At 41.5% G+C, this 17,800-nt stretch overlaps 1 protein-coding gene across 5 annotated transcripts in view, besides 1 other annotated feature; it reads left to right on the top strand.

The window, feature by feature from the left end:
• Positions 1-17,800, top strand: part of DCP1A (decapping mRNA 1A) — a 64,115-nt gene that overhangs the window by 33,785 nt on the left and 12,530 nt on the right. For 3 of the 5 annotated variants that reach the window (NM_001290206.2, NM_018403.7, NM_001290205.2), the window contains 2 exons: positions 1,380-1,518; positions 9,469-9,582. In NM_001290206.2, coding sequence (NP_001277135.1) covers positions 1,380-1,518; positions 9,469-9,582 — 253 coding nt within the window. The remainder of the gene's footprint in view (positions 1-1,379; positions 1,519-9,468; positions 9,583-17,800) is intronic. The other 2 variants (NM_001290207.2, NM_001290204.2) reach the window with 1 other exon arrangement.
• Positions 11,925-12,094: an enhancer, noted in NCBI's record as "experimental_70700 CRE fragment used in MPRA reporter constructs". NCBI's record gives its function as "activates a minimal promoter by MPRAs in K562 erythroleukemia cells, with activity observed for the introgressed 3:53335780 variant allele {active_cell/tissue: K562}" and the evidence as "EXISTENCE:reporter gene assay evidence [ECO:0000049][PMID:34662402]".

Here is a 17,800-nt window from a genome sequence, read left to right as displayed (position 1 = left end):
TAAAACAGGGTTTCACTATGTTGCCTGGGCTGGTCTCAAACTCCTGGGCTCAAGTGATCGTCCTGCCTCAGCCTCACAAAGTGCTAGGATTATAGGCATGAGCACTGTGCCTGGCCTGAATGAATCTTAAAAAAAACAAAAAAAGTTGCTTTATTAAAATTTATTATTCAAGCTTGAAAGCTTGAAGAAAAATATAGGAAATAATAAAATATGTATGTGCTTACCACCCAGCTTTCAGTTCCTAATATTTTGCTGTAATTGTTTCAGATCTTTCTTTACAAGGGAGAAGGGGGTGTTCTTAAAAACTGAAAGCCCACTTAGTGATTTTTTTTTTTTTTTGGAGTCAAGGTCTCACTCTGTTACCCAGGCTGGAGTGCAGTAGTGTGATCTCAGTTCACTGCAGCCTCTACCTCCCAGACTCAAGCAGTCCTCCCACCTCAGCCTTCCAAATAGCTGGGACTACAGGCGTGTACCACTACGCCCAGCTAATTTTTGTATTTTTTGTAGAGACGGGGTTTTGCCAAGTTGCCCAGGCTAAGTTGGTGGTTTTTAAAAGGGAGAATAAGGGAAACCTTTTATTTGCTTATAGTGTTACTAACTTTTAAGGATTCACCAAGACCTCTATTTTCAAGAACTGACTTTGTCCTTGCTAGCCCAGTGTCAATCCAAACTTTCCACAGAGGATTTGTTCAACTATGCAGCCTTCCTGTGTCTTGGTGGAACTGTCAGTTTTCATATTTACTTTAGCAATTAGTTTGACTGATTTTGAAATACTTCAAGGGAAAAAGGGAGAAACCTTAGTGGAGTTTGTAATGCATCTCTGCCAACTCTAGGAAGGAATTCTGTATTTTTATCCTTCTGAAGGGTAAATATTGGCACTGTTAATGAGACGGTGAAATGGTAAGTCATTTATTTCTGAAATGAGGTAACTGAAGTTCTGTGTTATATATTGCAAGAATAATGTAATCGGCTGGGCGCGGTGGCTCAGGCCTGTAATCCCAGCACTTGGGGAGGCCTAGGGCAGATCACGAGGTCAGGAGATTGAGACCATCCTGGCTAACACGGTGAAACCCCATCTCTACTAAAAATACAAAACATTAGCCGGGTGTGGTGGTGGGCGCTGTAGTCCCAGCTACTCCGGAGGCTGAGGCAGGAGGATGGTGTGAACCCAGGAGGTGGAGTTTGCAGTGAGCCGAGATCACACCACTGCACTCCAGCCTGGGCGACAGTGCGAGACTCCATCTCAAAAAAAAAAAAAAAAAAGAAGAATGTCATCATGTGACACTCTTAGTGTATCCTTGGAAGATGAACACCAAAAGAAATCTTGGGTCAGATTTTGTTTCAAGAGGCCTTTCTAAAACCTTGTTCTTCTCCTCTAGTGTGGTAGAAGAGGAGACACGGCGATCCCAGCAAGCTGCTCGGGACAAACAGAGTCCCAGCCAGGCCAATGGCTGCAGCGACCACAGGCCCATCGACATCCTGGAGATGCTGAGCAGAGCCAAGGATGAGTATGAGAGGGTGAGGCTCTCTGGGTACTTGGGTGCTGACCAGGGAAGACCAAAACGGGAGGAGGAGGTCTGCAGGAGACTATTTTACTAGGGAAGCTGGCCTCCAGGGACGGCAGAAATATAAGTTCAAAAAGAGAGCGTGTTAGCACACTCCTGTAATCAGTCCCAGCTACTTGGCAGGCTGAGGAAGGAAGATCACTTGACTCCAGGAGTTGGAGGCTGCAGTGGGCTATGATTGTGCCACTCCACTCTAGTCTGGGCAACAGTGAGACCCTGTGTCTCTCTTTTTTTTTTTTTAAAACAGATGTGTCTTACAATTTTAAACCTAAAACATAAGGAAAGAACTTGCTTACCCCAGATTACTTGTTTTTGGCAGGAAAATTTACAATGCTTTTTTCTATTCCTATAAGATTACTATGGGAGAAGATGGTCTTGGAGTGCAGAAGTTAGCTCGCAGCAGCTAGTTCTGGTAAAGCTTCGTGCCTCTTCTTCACCACTGCAGTTTCTGTTAGGATCCTCAGTGGTCCTAGGAATTTGTTTAGGCTTTGAAAAGTATTCTGATAGTTTGTACCACATAATACTAAAAAATACACTCATGGTCTGTAATTGGTGGTAGATGCACAACCTTCATTAAGCTTCATTTGGAATTTTACCCAAATGAGAGGCTTTTCTGAAATTCACTGTTTTCTTTCTCTTCTGTTGTGCATTTTAGTTTATAAATTAGCTGATAAAATTTTCTCCCAAAAGTTGAATAAAATGGCAATTGTGGTACTTTCGTTAATTTATTCAATACCTGCTTATGAACCATCTACTATGTGCAAGCAGTGGGCATTTCATGGTTATGACTCTCCTGGAATTTTACTTGGCACCTCAAAGCCCCCACACTTCACTGGAGTGAGACAAGCTCTCTACTGCTGAACTTTGTTTTAGCAGAATTATACTGTCACCTTACTCTTCATTAAATATTGAATTAAGTGCTTTCCTTTCATGCCTATTTCACCTCACCAGAACTTCAAGGAACAAAATGTGAAAAAGCACTGTCCAAAAGACCCTGTTTCCCATACAGTTCTGCTATAATACCAGCTACTAAGTTATTAATCAGTGATCCTGAAAAAAGCTTCAAATTGGCAAAACGAGTTAAGGTACTGTTGTTAGCATGACTCTTCCTCCTCCCATCCTCTTGGGACTTTACAGAGCTCAAAACTGAGAGGTCCTGCAATAAGTAAAACAATAACACCAATTCCCAGATTGACTTGACTGCAGGACCATTTTTTGCATACTGCCCTTTAACAACTCAAGAATTTGGAGTTCAGGAAAAAGTTTGAAAAAAGTGTTCTGAAAGATAGTTTCTTCTGACTAAAAATAGGCATGTTCACCATAAACTACATAGACCTTCTACATTCTGATAACAAAGGAAGTCCCACCTCCAGGGTGGAGAAATGTACATGAGAGCCCATGAGAAGTTTCAAGTTTGTACCAAATTCTTCAATGTCTCACAGAGAATTAGGAGGAATGAATGGATCTATGGAAGTTAAATTTGGAGGAGCAGTCACCTCTCTAATAAATTAATCGATTCTTAGGAAACCAAATGAGAACTAACTTCAAGAATGGCTTTCTGATTTAGAAGTTACCTTACATTCCCCTCTTCTACCCTTGATGACAAGCGGATTTTCTACGTACATACTTTGTTCTGTTTGTAGAGCCCTTTCAGTGTTCTCATAGGTACCTAGTAAGTCCAGGGCTCTGTCACTCATCCTGAGTAATAACTGTATCAAGGTACCACACGGGACAGAAACTGTAGGTGCTGCGCACTAAAGCAGATACTCCAGTAAGTGGCCTGGCTTACTCAGGCTGAGAGGTTAAGTAGCCACAACGAGAAAGTAGGAAATAAGACATTAGCTTTGAACACAAAACTTTAAAGGAACTCTAGGGTCAGGTGGGCAATCTAAACATCTGACATTATTTTGAATTATATCAATATTACAAAAGGAATATAGATAGCATGATAGTTTCTGTTTTAAATAAACTTCTTTCACACTATGGAATAAAATATCGTCTATGGGTAGATTAAAATGAAACCCTTTGGGATTTGGTTAAATCTTTGATATTTACTTTATCATGTGTTCTTTCTGATTTTGAAAACTGTCTGCAATAGGTGGAGCTTCTTTGAATTAGAGTTTTGTTCTCTTATCTGCATTTGTCTATCATCTCATCAGATGGAGCTGGTATAAGCAGTGACCCATGAATTCATGGGTCTTGGTGTTTGGATGGGCTCCCTTCAGCTGCCACATTTTTTCAGACGGCCCCTTTGTTTATCTTTAGGTGAAGACTCAGAAGATTGGCAATCAAGGGCAGGGGTGCAAGCTAGGCCTCAGTGTTGGGATTTAATCCTGATTCTGAGTCTCCGCTATCTGCTGAGTATGATATAATGAACGAAATTTCAGACTTTTGAATGAGCACTTGTAATAATGAGACTCTTTTCTTTTTTCAGACAGGGTCTCTCTGTTGCCCAGGCTGGAGTGCAGGGGCACAATCTTGGCCCACTGCAGCCTCTACCTCCCAGGCTCAAGACATTCTCCCATCTTAGCCTCCCAATTAGCCACGACTATAGGCCATGCATCACCATGCTTGGATAATTTTGTTTATTTTTTGTAGAGATAGAGTCTCACTATGTTGCCCTGGCTGATCTTGACAAGCTCCTGGGCTCAAGCTGTCCTCCCGCCTTGGCCTCCCAAAGTGCTGGAATTATAGGTGTGAGACACTGTGGCCAGCCTAGAGACTGTTTGAAAATTAAAAATCTGTATAATAAGCATTTTCTTCAAAAGAAAGATATTGCACTTCTATAATATCTTTTAATTAACTTTCCTTTTTTTTTTTTTTTGAGATGGAGTCTCGCTCTGTTGCCAGGCTACAGTGCAGTGGCGCGATCTCGACTCACTGCAACCTCCACCTCCCAGATTCAAGTGATCCTCCTGCCTCAGCCTCCTGAGTAGCTGGGACTACAGGCATGCACCACTATGACCGGCTAATTTTTTGTATTTTTAGTAGAGACAGGGTTTCACCATGTTGGCCAGGATAGTCTCAATCTCTTGACCTCGTGATTGGCCCGCCTCAGCCTCCCAAAGTCCTGGGATTACAGGCGTGAGCCACCGTACCTAGCCTCAACTTTCTTATTTTTTATGTAAAGAAAGATAGTTGAAACCACACTTGGCCCATTATGAGTTGCTTCTAGCCATAGGATGTAATCCTGGATTTTGGTCAGGGGGGTGCGGATGGTTGTTTGTTTGGTTTTAGTTTAATTGCAAAACAGTTTTTTAAAGTCCAGGGTATTTTTGTTCTTAAAAAATAGAGGCCAGACACAGTGACTCATGCCCATAATTCCAGCACCTTGGGAGGCCGAGGTGGGAGGATTGCTTGAATCCACGAGTTTCAGACCACCCTGGGCAACATAGCAAGACCTTGTCTCTACCAAAAAAAAATTTTTTTTTAATTAGTTAGGCATGGTGGCACACACCTGTAGTCCCAGCTACTCCGGAGGCTGAGGCGGGAGGAGCACTTGAGCCCAGCAGTTCGAGGCTGCAGTGAGCCATGATTGAACTGCTGCATTCCAGCTCAGGTGACAGCAAGACTCTGTTTCTTAAAAAGAAAAAAGAAAAGAAAAAAATAGGATAGGCCAGGCGCTGTGGCTATGTCTATAATCCCAGCGCTTTGGAAGGCTGGAGCAGGAGAATTGATTGAGGACAGGCCTGGTCAACATATAATGAGATCCCATCTCTATAAAAAATTTAAAAATCAGCCAGGTGTGGTGGTGTGCACCTGTGGTCCTGGCTGTTTGGAGGCTGAGGTGGGAAGATCACGAGCCCAACAGCTCCAAGTTACAGTGAGCTATTATTCTGCCACTGCACTCCAGCCTGGGCAACAGAGCATGACCCTGTCTCAAAAAACAATAAAAATAAATAAATACCTAAATAAACATGAACACCATTATTTTTCTTATTATGTAAGCAGTATAAACTATAGAAAAGTTTTTTCTTTTTTTAAAACAGCTTACAGAGAACGTTTTATATTCAAAAATTACAGTAAACAAAAAGAAGAAAATATCATAGTTCTACCACCTAGAAATAATCACTGCTAATACTTTGTTACGTATCCTTGCAAAAATATGTCCAAGTGTAAGTGGTATGTTTGTGTACATTAGATTTATTAATGTTCTTTGGTAACCTGTTTTGTTCCAAATAACTATCTTTTTTATTGACAGTAACTATTCATCTCACAGAGAATCCCTATGAGATTTCCTTTGGTAGAATGAAGTTTTTGAAAAAACTGATATTTATAGCTGTGTATTTTTCCTTATGTGCATTATATAAATGATACCCTAGGCTTCTCTAATTCTATTAAGAACTTGGCGATATATCCTTATAGCTAAATCCTTGTAAAATCCTCATGTACAGCATTAACTTTTTATTAGGATAAATTACTTTAAATGGAATTGGTAGATCAAAGCATTTTTATGTTTTTAAGATTTTTACCAAATATTATAAAATCACCCTCCAGCAGGTTTGTCTGATTGCCCATTTTCCCTCATTTTTACAAACACTGGATGCTGTTATTAACAAACACAAAATCTCCAAGAAAGGCCCTGCACAAGTATCAGAAATACATTAAATTCTTGAGAACTTTCATTAAAGTACAACCTAACAATATAAGCCAGTTTTATTGCTTATACTTAAGAATTGCAAATCAAATGCCCCAAGAGCCAGGGAAGCCATGGTAGTGAGTAAAGCAGGCCGGGTGGAACTGAAGCAGGTTGAGAGCTAGTTCGTATGTAAAGGGTCATTTACAGCCCAGCTCTCAGTTATTGCCGATAAGGTTTTGCAACCTTATCCAGCCTGTCTCTAAAAATTACAAATCTGGGGCTTGGGGCAGTGGCATATGGCTTCCAGCACTTTGGAAGGCTGAAGCAGATAGATTGCTTGAGTCCAGGAGTTTAAGACCAGCCTGGGGCCGGGTGTGGTGGCTCACGCCTGTAATCCCAACACTTTGGAAGGCTGAAGCGGGTGGATTGCTTGAGGTCAGGAGTTCAAGACCAGCCTGGCCAACATGGTGAAATCCCATCTCTACTAAAAATAGAAAAATTAGCTGGGTGTGGTGGTATGTGCCTATAGTCCCAGCTACTTGGGAGGTTGAGGGAGGCTGAGGTTCATGAGAATCACTTGAACCCAAGAGGCGAAGGTTACAGTGAGCCAAGATTGCGCCACTGCACTCCAGCCTGGGTGACAGAGCAGGACTCAGTCCACAAAAAAAAAAAAAAAAAAAAAAGAACAGCCTGGGCAACATGGTTGGTGAAGTCCCATCTCTACAAAAAAATAGCAAAAGAAAATCATAGCTTGCTGCAGCCTTAAACTCTTGGGCTCAAGTGATCCACCTGTCTCAGCCTCCACCATGTTGGTCAGGCTGGCTTTTTTTTTTTTTTTTTTTTTGAGACGGAGTCTTGCACTGTTGCCCAGGCTGGAGTGCAGTGGCCCAATCTCGGCTCACTGCAAGCTCTGCCTCTTGGGTTCACACCATTCTCCTGCCTCAGCCTCCCGAGTAGCTGGGACTACAGGCGCCCACCACCACGCCTGGCTAATTTTTTGTACTTTTAGTATAGACAGGGTTTCACAGTGTTAGCCAGGATGGTCTCTATTTTTATTTTTTGTAGAGATGGGGTCTCACTATGTTGCCCAGGCTGGTCTTGAACTCTTGGTCTCAAGTGATCTTCCTGCCTCAGCTTCCTGAAGTGCTGGGAGCCACTGCTTCCAGCCCCAACTTTTTAATGTTTCTGAACATTTATACCTTCTGTTTTAAGAACTTGTTATGAACAATATTTTAACTTTATATTTTCTGTAATATAATTCAGTTCCAAGCATTCCACATAATGGGGTTGATATGGTTGATAGTGATGTTGCAAACAGAGGCATGTTAAAAGATTGAGATATTTCATAGGCTTTCACCAAATGTTCCGCCGCTATTCAAATTGATAACACTGAGTAAATGATGTTCTGAAATAATATAAGGATTAAGTCATTTGGGTGGGAAAAAACACATGCCATCCATTTAATATTTGAGTACCTACTCCTGTGATAAGCATTAATTGTCTGTAGCATGGTATCAAGAAAATCTGTCTGTGAACTGAGTTTAGGGCTGCTTTTTAAAAAAATCTCATATCTTGCATTTTCTGAACTGTTTTTGGTGTCGGTTTTGGCATGGATGATGTTCATCAGATGCCGGATCAGATAGCACAAATATTCAAGAATTCATAACCCATAATTCCATGTCCATCTATTGGTCTGATCATTTTTTGAGGATTCTTTTTAAGAACAAGATTATTTTCATTTTTAATGTCATGAGCACATTAATGGTAACTTAATAATATTAGTACAATTAGATGTCCATATGCGACAAAAAAAACCTAACCTAATAACATCTTAGAGAATAATCAACTCAAAATGTGTCATCGATGTAAAATATAAAACTATAAAACTTTTAGAAGAAAAATGTATTTATCATATGACCCAAGAAGTACCACTCCTAGGTATTTACCCTAGAGAAACAAATTTTGCCAGGCACGATGTGGCTCACGCTTGTAACCCCAGCACTTTGGGAGGCCGAGGAGGGTGAATCACCTGAAGTCAGGAGTTCGAGACCAGCCTGGCCAACATGGTGAAACCCCGTCTCTACTAAAAATATGAAAATTAGCTGGGTGTGGTGGCGCGCGCCTGTAATCCCAGCTACTCAGGAGGCTGAGGCAAGAGAATTGCTTGAATCTGGGAGGCAGAGAGCACAGTAAGCTGAGATCAAGCCACTAAAATCCAGGCTGGGCAACAGAGTGAGACTCCGTCTCAAAAAAAAAAAAGAAAAAAAAATTTTTGTCCACTTAAAAACCTATATCAATGTTTATAGATGTTGTATTCATAATTACCAAAAAACGGAAACAACACAGATGTGCTTCTGTGAGTGAATGGTTAAACACTCACGTATTTATATAATGTAATACTACTCAGCAATAAAAAGGAGTGAACTATTAATACCATACAACAGCTTGGATGTACCTTAAAGGCATTATGCTAAGTGCAAGAAGCTGGCATTCTACTTATATTTCATTTATATGACATCTTTGAAAAGACGAAACTAGAGTGAGAGAGAATAGACCTAGTTGCCGGGAGTGGAGGGAGGGCATGACTGCAACAGGACAGCACAAGGGAATTTTTTTTTGGATGATGGAACTGTTTTGTATCCTGATTATGCTGATAGGGACATAAATAGAACTGTACACCCCCTTAAAAATTCATTTCACCATATGTTAGCTTTTATTTGAAAATAAAATCAGGCTGGGCACAGTGGCTCACACCCATAATCCCAGCACTTTGGGAGGCCGAGGTGGATGGATCACAAGGTCAGGAGTTTGAGACCAGCCTGGCCAACATGCTGAAACCCTGTCTCTACTAAAAATACAAAAAAAAAAAGAAAAACCAGCTGGACATGGTGGCTTGCACCTGTAATCCCAGCTACTCGGGAGGCTGAGGCAGGAGAATCGCTTGAACCCAGGAGGCAGAGGTTGTAGTGAGCCAAGATTGCGCCACTGCAGTCCAGCCTGGGCAACAGAGCAAGACTCCATCTTGGAAAAACAAATAAATAAGATTAAAAGAATATGTGATAAAGTAATACCATTATCTTTTTCTTAAAAAGGTGATAAAAATAACAGTTGTGGCCAACACTGTTGTCTAAAATTAGGTGCTCAATGTTCTAGAAATTTTATTGCATGTTATTTACATTGGAGTACAGAGCAAACATTTTGAGGTTGGTTTTTCTTCTTCTTTTTAAAAAATAACATTTTTGATAACCTCAGATGCTGTTTTGTGAGCCAAATAATAGCAAATTTTTTTCACAAGATATATTTTTTTCTTTTAACTTTTTAAAGAATCAGATGGGTGACTCAAATATCTCCAGCCCTGGGTTACAGCCAAGCACTCAGCTCTCCAATCTGGGAAGCACCGAGACTCTAGAAGAAATGCCCTCCGGGTCACAGGATAAGGTTTGTACAGCTAAAGCTCTAGCTTTGTCCTAAGTAACAAAGAGTAACATTCAGTAAGGATTCTAATGAGTGCAAGTTTGATTTGTCAGTTGTGTCAAGGTTCAAATGTGCAGCAACATAATGACATCCTCCTAGGTCATGATCCGAGTAACTGTTTAATCTGGATTTTGCAGTAGCCTGCTACCTGGTTTCCCATCTTTTGCTCCCTGGTTGCTTCTTACCTATTCTTAACCCAACAGCCAGAGTAATCCTTGCAAAACATAAGTCAGATCATGGCACTCCTCTGCTTAAAACCCTCCAGCAGTGTCCGAGCTCACTCAAATCATAGCCAGGATCATGACAGTGGCCCACGAGGCCCTACCTTATCTGGCCCCTCTACCCCAGGCCTCATCTGTCACTCTGCATTGCTCACCTGGCTCCAGTCCCATTGGCTCTCTTGTCTTTCCCCAAATGTGCCAGATATGTTCCTGCCTCGAGACAGGCCTTTGCACTTGTTCCCTTGGCCTGTAATACTTTCCTCCCAGATAGGGCTTGCTCCCTTTACTCCCTCAAGCCTCATATGTCCTCCATAAGTCAGGCCTTCTCTGACTACCCTATTTAAAATAACCCTTGGCTAGGCACAGTGGCTCACACCTATAACGCCAGCACTTTGGAAGGTTGAGGCAGGCAGATCGCTTGAGCCCAGGAGTTTGAAACCAGCCTGGCCAATTGACGAAACCCTGTCTCTACTAAAAATACAAAAATTAGCTGGGTGTGGTGGCACGTGCCTGTAATGCCAGCTACTCAGGAGGCTGCAGCACCAGAATGGCTTGAACCCTGGAGGCAGAGGTTGCAGTGAGCCGAGATTGCACCAGTGCACTCCAGTCTGAGCAACAGAGTAAGACTCTGTCTCAAGGAAGAAAAAAATAATAACAGTAACACCCCTTGGACAGGCACAGTGGCTCTCGTCTGTAATCTCAGCTCTTTGGGAGGCCAAGGCAGGAGGATCACTTGAGCCCAGGAGTTAGAGACCAGCCTGGGCAGCATAGTGAGACCCCTTCTCTAGAAACAAATTTTAAAATTAGCCAGACGTGATGTCATGCACCTGTGGTCCCAGCTAATTGGGAGGCTGAGGTAGGAGCCTCGCTTGAGCTCAGGAGGTTTGAGATTGCAGTGAGCCATGATCACACCACTGCACTCCAGCCTGGGTAGCAGAGCAAGGCCCTGTCTCAAAAATTTAATTTAATTTAATTTAATTTAAAAATAAAATAAAACTCCCAGGTGCAGTGGCTCATGCCTGTAATCCCAGCACTTCAGGAGGCCAAGGCAGGCAGATCACCTGAGGTCAGGAGTTCGAGACCAGCCTGGCCAACATGGCGAAACCCCGTTTCTACTAAAAATACAAAATTAGCCGGGTGTGGTAATAGACACCAGTAATCCCAGCTATTCGGGAAGCTGAGGTAGGAGAAATTGCTTGAACCCGGGAGGTGGAGGTTGCAGTGAGCCGTGATTGCGCCACTGCACTCCAGCCTAGGCGACAGAGCAAGGCTCTGGCTCAAAATAAATAAGTAAATAAATAAAATAAAACAACCCTTCCTCACCTCCATCCTCTTACTGTACTTTATTTTCTCACTAAGGTTTCTAACCAGCTAAGATGGTTTCTGTTTTTGTTTTTTGTCTGTCTCCTGCCCACCAAAATATAAGCACCATGTAAAACAGTTTTGTTTTTTTGTTTTTAAGCTGTCTCTTACGGGAAAGAAGGGCAGTTTTATGAGCCTTGTTCATTGCTGTATCCTTAGCATGTAGCACTGTAAATATTTGTTGAATTAGTTCTCTTTATAACTGATAGTCTGATAAAAGAACAGATATCAAATAAAATCCGTAGGTTTTTAAGTAGACTTTTTGTTTTGAGATAATTACAGATTTATATGCAGTTGTAAGAAATAATGCAGAAAGATCCTATGTACCCATTACCCATTTGCCCATTGATAACATTTTGCAAAATATAGTACGATATGACAACCAGGATATTAACACAATCCACACATGTTGTTCAGATTTCCTTTGTTGTGTGTATATTCAGTTCTGTGTAATTTTATCTCATGTATAGCTTTTTGTATATCCACTACCACAGTCAAGATGCTAAATATTTTCATCACCCCCAAGATGTTTTGCCCTTTCATAAACACACTGACTTCCCTGTCATACCCTATTCTGCCTCTGCGTCTACCTCTGCCTCCCCGATCCCGCCATCGTTTAGCCCTGGCAACTATTAATCCATTTTCCAGTTCTATAATGTCATTTCAAGAATATTATATAAATGGAATCATATATATAACCTCTTGAGATTGTCTTTCTTCACTCAGCATAATTCCTGAACATTTCACTGAAGTTGTTACATGTATCAAGTTTGTTTCCTTTTATTACTGAGAGTATTACATGATACGCAAGTACTAAAATTTGTTTAACTGTTTTTGGCAACTCACTTACTGAAGAACATCTAGATTGTTTTCAGTTTTGGGTTATTACAAATAAAGCTCCTATGAACATTTATGTACAGGTTTTTATGTGAACATAAATCTTCATTTCTCTGAGATAAATGCCCAGGAGTGCAAATGTCAGGTCATTTGGTATTGCATGTTTTAGTTTAATAAGAAACTGCCTTGGGAGGCCAAGGCGGGTGGATCACTTGAGGTCAGGAGTTCGAGACTAGCCTGACCAACATGGTGAAACCCCGTCTCTACTAAAAATACAAAAATTGGACGGGCATGGTGGTGGTGGTACCTGAATCCCAGCTATTCGGGAGGCTGAGGCACGAGAATCGCTTGAACCTGGGAGGCAAAGGTTGCAGTGAGCTGAGGTCATGCCATTGCACTCCAGCCTGGGCAACAAGAGCAAAACCCTGTCTCAAAAAAAAAAGAAAGAAACCACCAAACTGTTTTCTAGGAAGTCTGTACAGTCTTACATTCACATCAACAATGTATCCAAAAATGTTTTTAGATATTTAGATAATTAATTTAAACCAAATTTTGTATTCTACCTTCCCATACCCCATTTTTACTGTATCTGGATTTAGGATCATCATCCAGGAGTGTGCAGTGGGCTTACTACTTCCCCTTTCTAAATCATGAATCACTTCATCTTCCTTTTGTGAATCATGAAGTTAAGGATTATTGTACCGCCTAATGCAGATTTGTTGTGAGACCCTAAGGAAGAAATGGACCAGAAAAAAATGACTTAAGAATTATAAGGTCAGGCATGGTGACTCACACCTGTAATCTCGGGACTTTGGGAAGTGGAGGCAGGCGGATCCCTTGAGTCCAGGAGTTTGAGAACAGCCTGGCCAACATGGTGAAACCCTGTCTCTAATAAAAATACAAAAATTAGCCGGGTGTGGTGGTGCACGCCTGTAATCACAGCTACTCAGGAGGCTAAAGTGGGAGGATCACTTGAAACCAGGAGGTGGAGGTTATAGTGAGCCAAGATCGCACCACTGCACTCCAGCCTGGGCGACCAAGGGAGACCCTGTTTCAAAAATCCAACAACAAAAAAAAGAATCAGCCAGGCACAGTGGCTCACGCCTGTAATCCTAGCACTTTGGGAGGCCAAGGCAAGTGGATCACCTGAGGTCAGGAGTTCAAGACCAGCCTGACCAACATGGTGAAACCCCATCTCTACTAAATAGAAAAGAAATTAGCCAGGGGTGGTGGCACATGCCTGTAATCCCAGCTACTTGAGAGGCTGAGGCAGGAGAATCGCTTGAACCCGGGAGGCGGAGGTTGCAGTAAGCTGAGATTGTGCCATTGCACTCCAGCCTGGCCAACAAGAGTGAAACTCCATCTCAAAAAAAAAAAAAAAGTCATAAAGCACTGTCCATTGAAAGATGAAAAATGAGTGTGACAAGCCATAGATGCTAAGCCTTTCAACAATAGCACTGCGTCTGTAGACATACAGAACTCAAGTGGTACAGACAGTGCTGATGTGTTATTCCGTCATTTTTCATATACTTTTAAAACTTCACGTTTGGTCGGGCATGGAGGCTCACACCTGTAATCCCAGCACTTTGCACTTTGGGAGGCCGAGACAGGCAGATCATGAGGTCAGGAGTTTGAGACCAGCCTGGCCAACATGGTGAAACCCTGTCTCTACTAAAAATACAAAAAGTAGCCGGGCGTGATGGCATACGCCTGTAATCCCAGCTACTCAGGAGGCAGAGGCAGGAGAATTGCTTGAACCCAGGAGGGGGAGGTTGCAGTGAGCCAAGATCGTGCCACCACACTCCAGCCTGGGCGACAGAGCAAGACTCCATCTCGGGGTGGGAGGAAGACTCCATTATTTAGGTTATAGTGACAAAATTTTATGAAATACTGAGATCTGGATATTGTCAGAAGTCATGTGATTGACTAAAGTTAGTTTAAATTTATCATCAGCCGCCACAGGCAGATACTACATTTGTTTAGTAACACTGCCATCTAGTGCTGAGGAGCAAGTACTGCTGTCAAGCCTTAATAGTATTACATTCCATTTCAGTTGCATAATTCACTTGTTTAAACTTTTCTTGGGATTGTTTCTGTAGTGTATTTTGTTATTGTTTGTTTCCTATGTTCAAGAATAGTGCCTATCTTATAGTGTGCCCACTGCAGTGACCAGTAGCTCCAAACAGACATGTAAAATTCTCTAAACATCAATTCTCCGTGGGATGAGGAGTGAACCATATTAAACCTGATGCTGAAGATGATAATTTTGTCCTGTGCTGTACATGCTGTTGCTCGCTGAATGCCATTTCCTGAGCTAAACGGTCAGACTAACACTTGATCTACATGAAGTATTAAAAAACTCAGAATCCTAACTTGAAGCATGTTCAAGCATGAGGAAAGAATAACATTTTACCTTTTCTGTGGATGATGGAAGGTTAATTCATGAATAAATAAGCCCAGCTACTAGAGGAGGGCAACCAGTTTTTCTTATCAGAAACAGAAAAGAATGCAGAGACTGTGAAACTTTTGGGAATTTGTGTGAAGAGAAATATTCTGCTCACCCAGGCTCCTATGACAAATTCAACCAGTTAGGTATAATCATGTGTCATTTAACAATGGGAATACTTTCTGAGAAATGTGTCATTAGGCGATTTCATTCTCCGAACATCATAGAGTGTATTTATACTTTCACAAACCAAGAAACCAAGATGGCATTGCCTACTAACACCTAGGCTCGATGGGATAGCCTATGGCTTCTAGGCTACAGACCTGTGCAGCACATTACTGCACTGCGTATTATAGGCACTTGTAACACACTGGTATTTGTATATTTAACCATAGAAAAGGTTTAGTAAAAACACAATATTATATTCTTATGGGACCACTGTTGTATATGCAGTCCATCATTGACCAAAACATGGTTTGTGCCAAATGATAGTATTTCCAAACGTTGATGCATTTTGATCTGTAGCCACCTCAGTTATTCAAACCTTAGCTGTACCTGTTTTCCGGAGGTAAGTATCACCATCCAGGTGATTAGGTAACCTATACTTTGCTGAATTGACATCTCCATATGGTGGCACACTGCTTAAGAATGTAGACTGTATTGTTAGAACTGAGTTGGAGTCTGGTTCTTTTGTTGTATTTGGGCATCATCTATAAAGTAGCAATAATAATTTACCTACTCTAGCAGATGAATAGAGTAATACATGTAAAGTGCTTAGCATATCGCCTCCCACATAGTAAGCATTCTGTGTATGATGATTCATTATTACCATCACAAATTCGTTTATTCTCTCTTATATGAGAAAACCTCCAAAACTGTAATGCTTTACCATACTCCCCATTCTAGAGAAAGTTAGAGAATCTGTCTGGCCTCGCAGTAGTTATAGGGAGGCAGCATAGAGAATCTAGAAACTTTCTGCTGCTTTTAAAGTCAGGGGTCAGGGTTCTACCATATGGTGGTTTCATATTTTAATTTAAAGTAGGTGTGTGTGTTTGTAGAGACAACGTCTCACTCTGTTGCCCAGGCTAGATTGCAGTGGCCTGATCATAGCTCACTGTAACCTCAAACTCTTGGGCTTAAACAATCCTCCTGCCTCAGCCTCCCAAGCAGCCAGGACCACAGGTGCACACCACCTTGTGCAGCTAATTTTTAAATTTTTTGTAGAGGCAGGGTCTCAATATGTTGACCAGGCTGATCTTAAACTCCTGGCTTCAAGCAATGCTTCCGCCTAGGCCTGCCAAAGTGCTGAGATTATAAGCATGAGGCACTCTGCCTGACTTAAAGTAGATTTTTGGCTGTTCAAAGTTAATTTATGTTTCACTGGACAAGGAAAAATTGCTGTCTGGATTATGCCTCAGGTGTATTTTGTGATGAGGTTTCTCCATGTCCTGCCATTTGATTATTCCTTTTCTTAAATTTCTGCAACATAGACCCAATCTGATCTCTGTTTTTCAAAGTAGTTTATACCTAAATATTGGTTTGTGTGTTTGTATACATATGTCTGTAATAGAATGGGGTGGTTATGAGCTGTTTAATTTGCATTAATAAGAATTAGTCTTGTTGGCCAGGCACGGTGGCTGTAATCCCAGCACTTTGGGAGCCGAGGCAGACAGATCACCTGAGGTCAGAAGTTCAAGAACAGCCTGGCCAACATGGTGAAATGCCATCTCTACTAAAAATACAAAAATTAACTGAGCGTGGTGGTGCATGTCTGCATTCCCAGCTACTTGGGACGTTGAGGCAGGACTATCACTTGAACCCAGGAGGTGGAGGTTGCAGTGAGCCGTGATCACACCACTGCACTCCAGCCTGGGTGACAGCAAGACTCCATCTCAAAAATTAAAAAAAAAAAAAAAAGAATTAGTGTTGTTTTCCAATACTTTTTTTTGCTAAGAAACCTGACCCATTTGTTTTCTAAACATATAATGTGTATAAAAAGGAATTAACCCAATTCAAAACTGGGTAAAAGATTTTAATAGGAATCTCCATATAAGGTATACAAATGGCCAATAAGCACATGAAAAGATGCTCCACATCATTAGTCATTAGGGACATGCAAATTCAAACCACACTGAAGTATCACTTCATACTCATTAGGATGGCTAATATCATTAAAATGGAACATCACAAGTGTTGGAGAGTATATGGAAAATGCTCCATATACTCTGTTACCTCATATACTGCTGTATACTGGCAACCATGTTGGATTGCTGGTGATAATGTAAAATGGTTCAGGCACTATGGAAAAAAACAGTTCGGTGATTCCTCAAAAAGTTAAACTTGGAATTACTATATGACCCAGCAATTCTGCTCCTGGGTATATACCCAAAAGAATTGAAAACAGACATTCAAACAGATACTTCCACACCAGTCTTTATAGCAGCAGTATTTGCACTAGCTAGAAGGTGGAAACATCTCAAGAACTCCAGTGTCCATTAATGGATGAATGGATAAATAAATGTCATATATACATGCATTGGAACATTATTCGGCCATAAAAATAAGTGAAGTTCTGATACATGTTGGAACACGGATGAACCTTAAAAACAACAACATGAATATACTAAAGGCCACTGAATTTTACACTTAAATATGGTTAAAATGGTAAGTTTTATGTATATTTTACTACAGTTTTTTAAAATAGGGAGATAAATGTCTATTGTGCTGTCAGTAGACATTTATGATGCCATGAATTCACAAGTGACTAAGTCACAGTGTTCAGTGTAGTAAATGGAACCTGTGAACATGTCTGCAGCTATGTGGCCTGGACAGAGAAGTCTGTCCCAAGGGAGAATTTGTTGTCTATTTTGACCTAGATGGAATGGGTTTGAAATATTACCAGACAGCTGTGTCCTTGATGATTCTTTGCATTGGGAGTGACCAGGAGGTTTATAATAGCCTAGCCTTGGTTATCTTACCAGGTGTTTTGTTGTTGTCTTGCATTGTGGGATATGATATTCCAGGAGCATTTAATGAATTTTTGTTTGGTACTCCATGCTTGCTATTAAGACCACATGGTGGGCCGGGCGCGGTGGCTCATGCCTGTAATCCCAGCACTTTGGGAGGCCGCGGCACGCAGATCACCTGAGGTCAGAAGAAGTTTGAGACCAGCCCGGGCAACATGGTGAATCCTGTCTCTACAAAAAATACAAAAATTAGCTGGATGTGGTGACGCACGCCTATAATCCCAGCTGCTCAGGAGGCTGAGGCATAAGAATCGCTTGAACCTGGGAGGAGGAGGTTACAGTGAGCCGAG

Source organism: Homo sapiens, chromosome 3 (assembly GCF_000001405.40).
Source record: "Homo sapiens chromosome 3, GRCh38.p14 Primary Assembly".
Lineage (NCBI taxonomy): Eukaryota > Metazoa > Chordata > Mammalia > Primates > Hominidae > Homo > Homo sapiens.
This window is presented reverse-complemented; position numbering and strand designations above follow the sequence as displayed.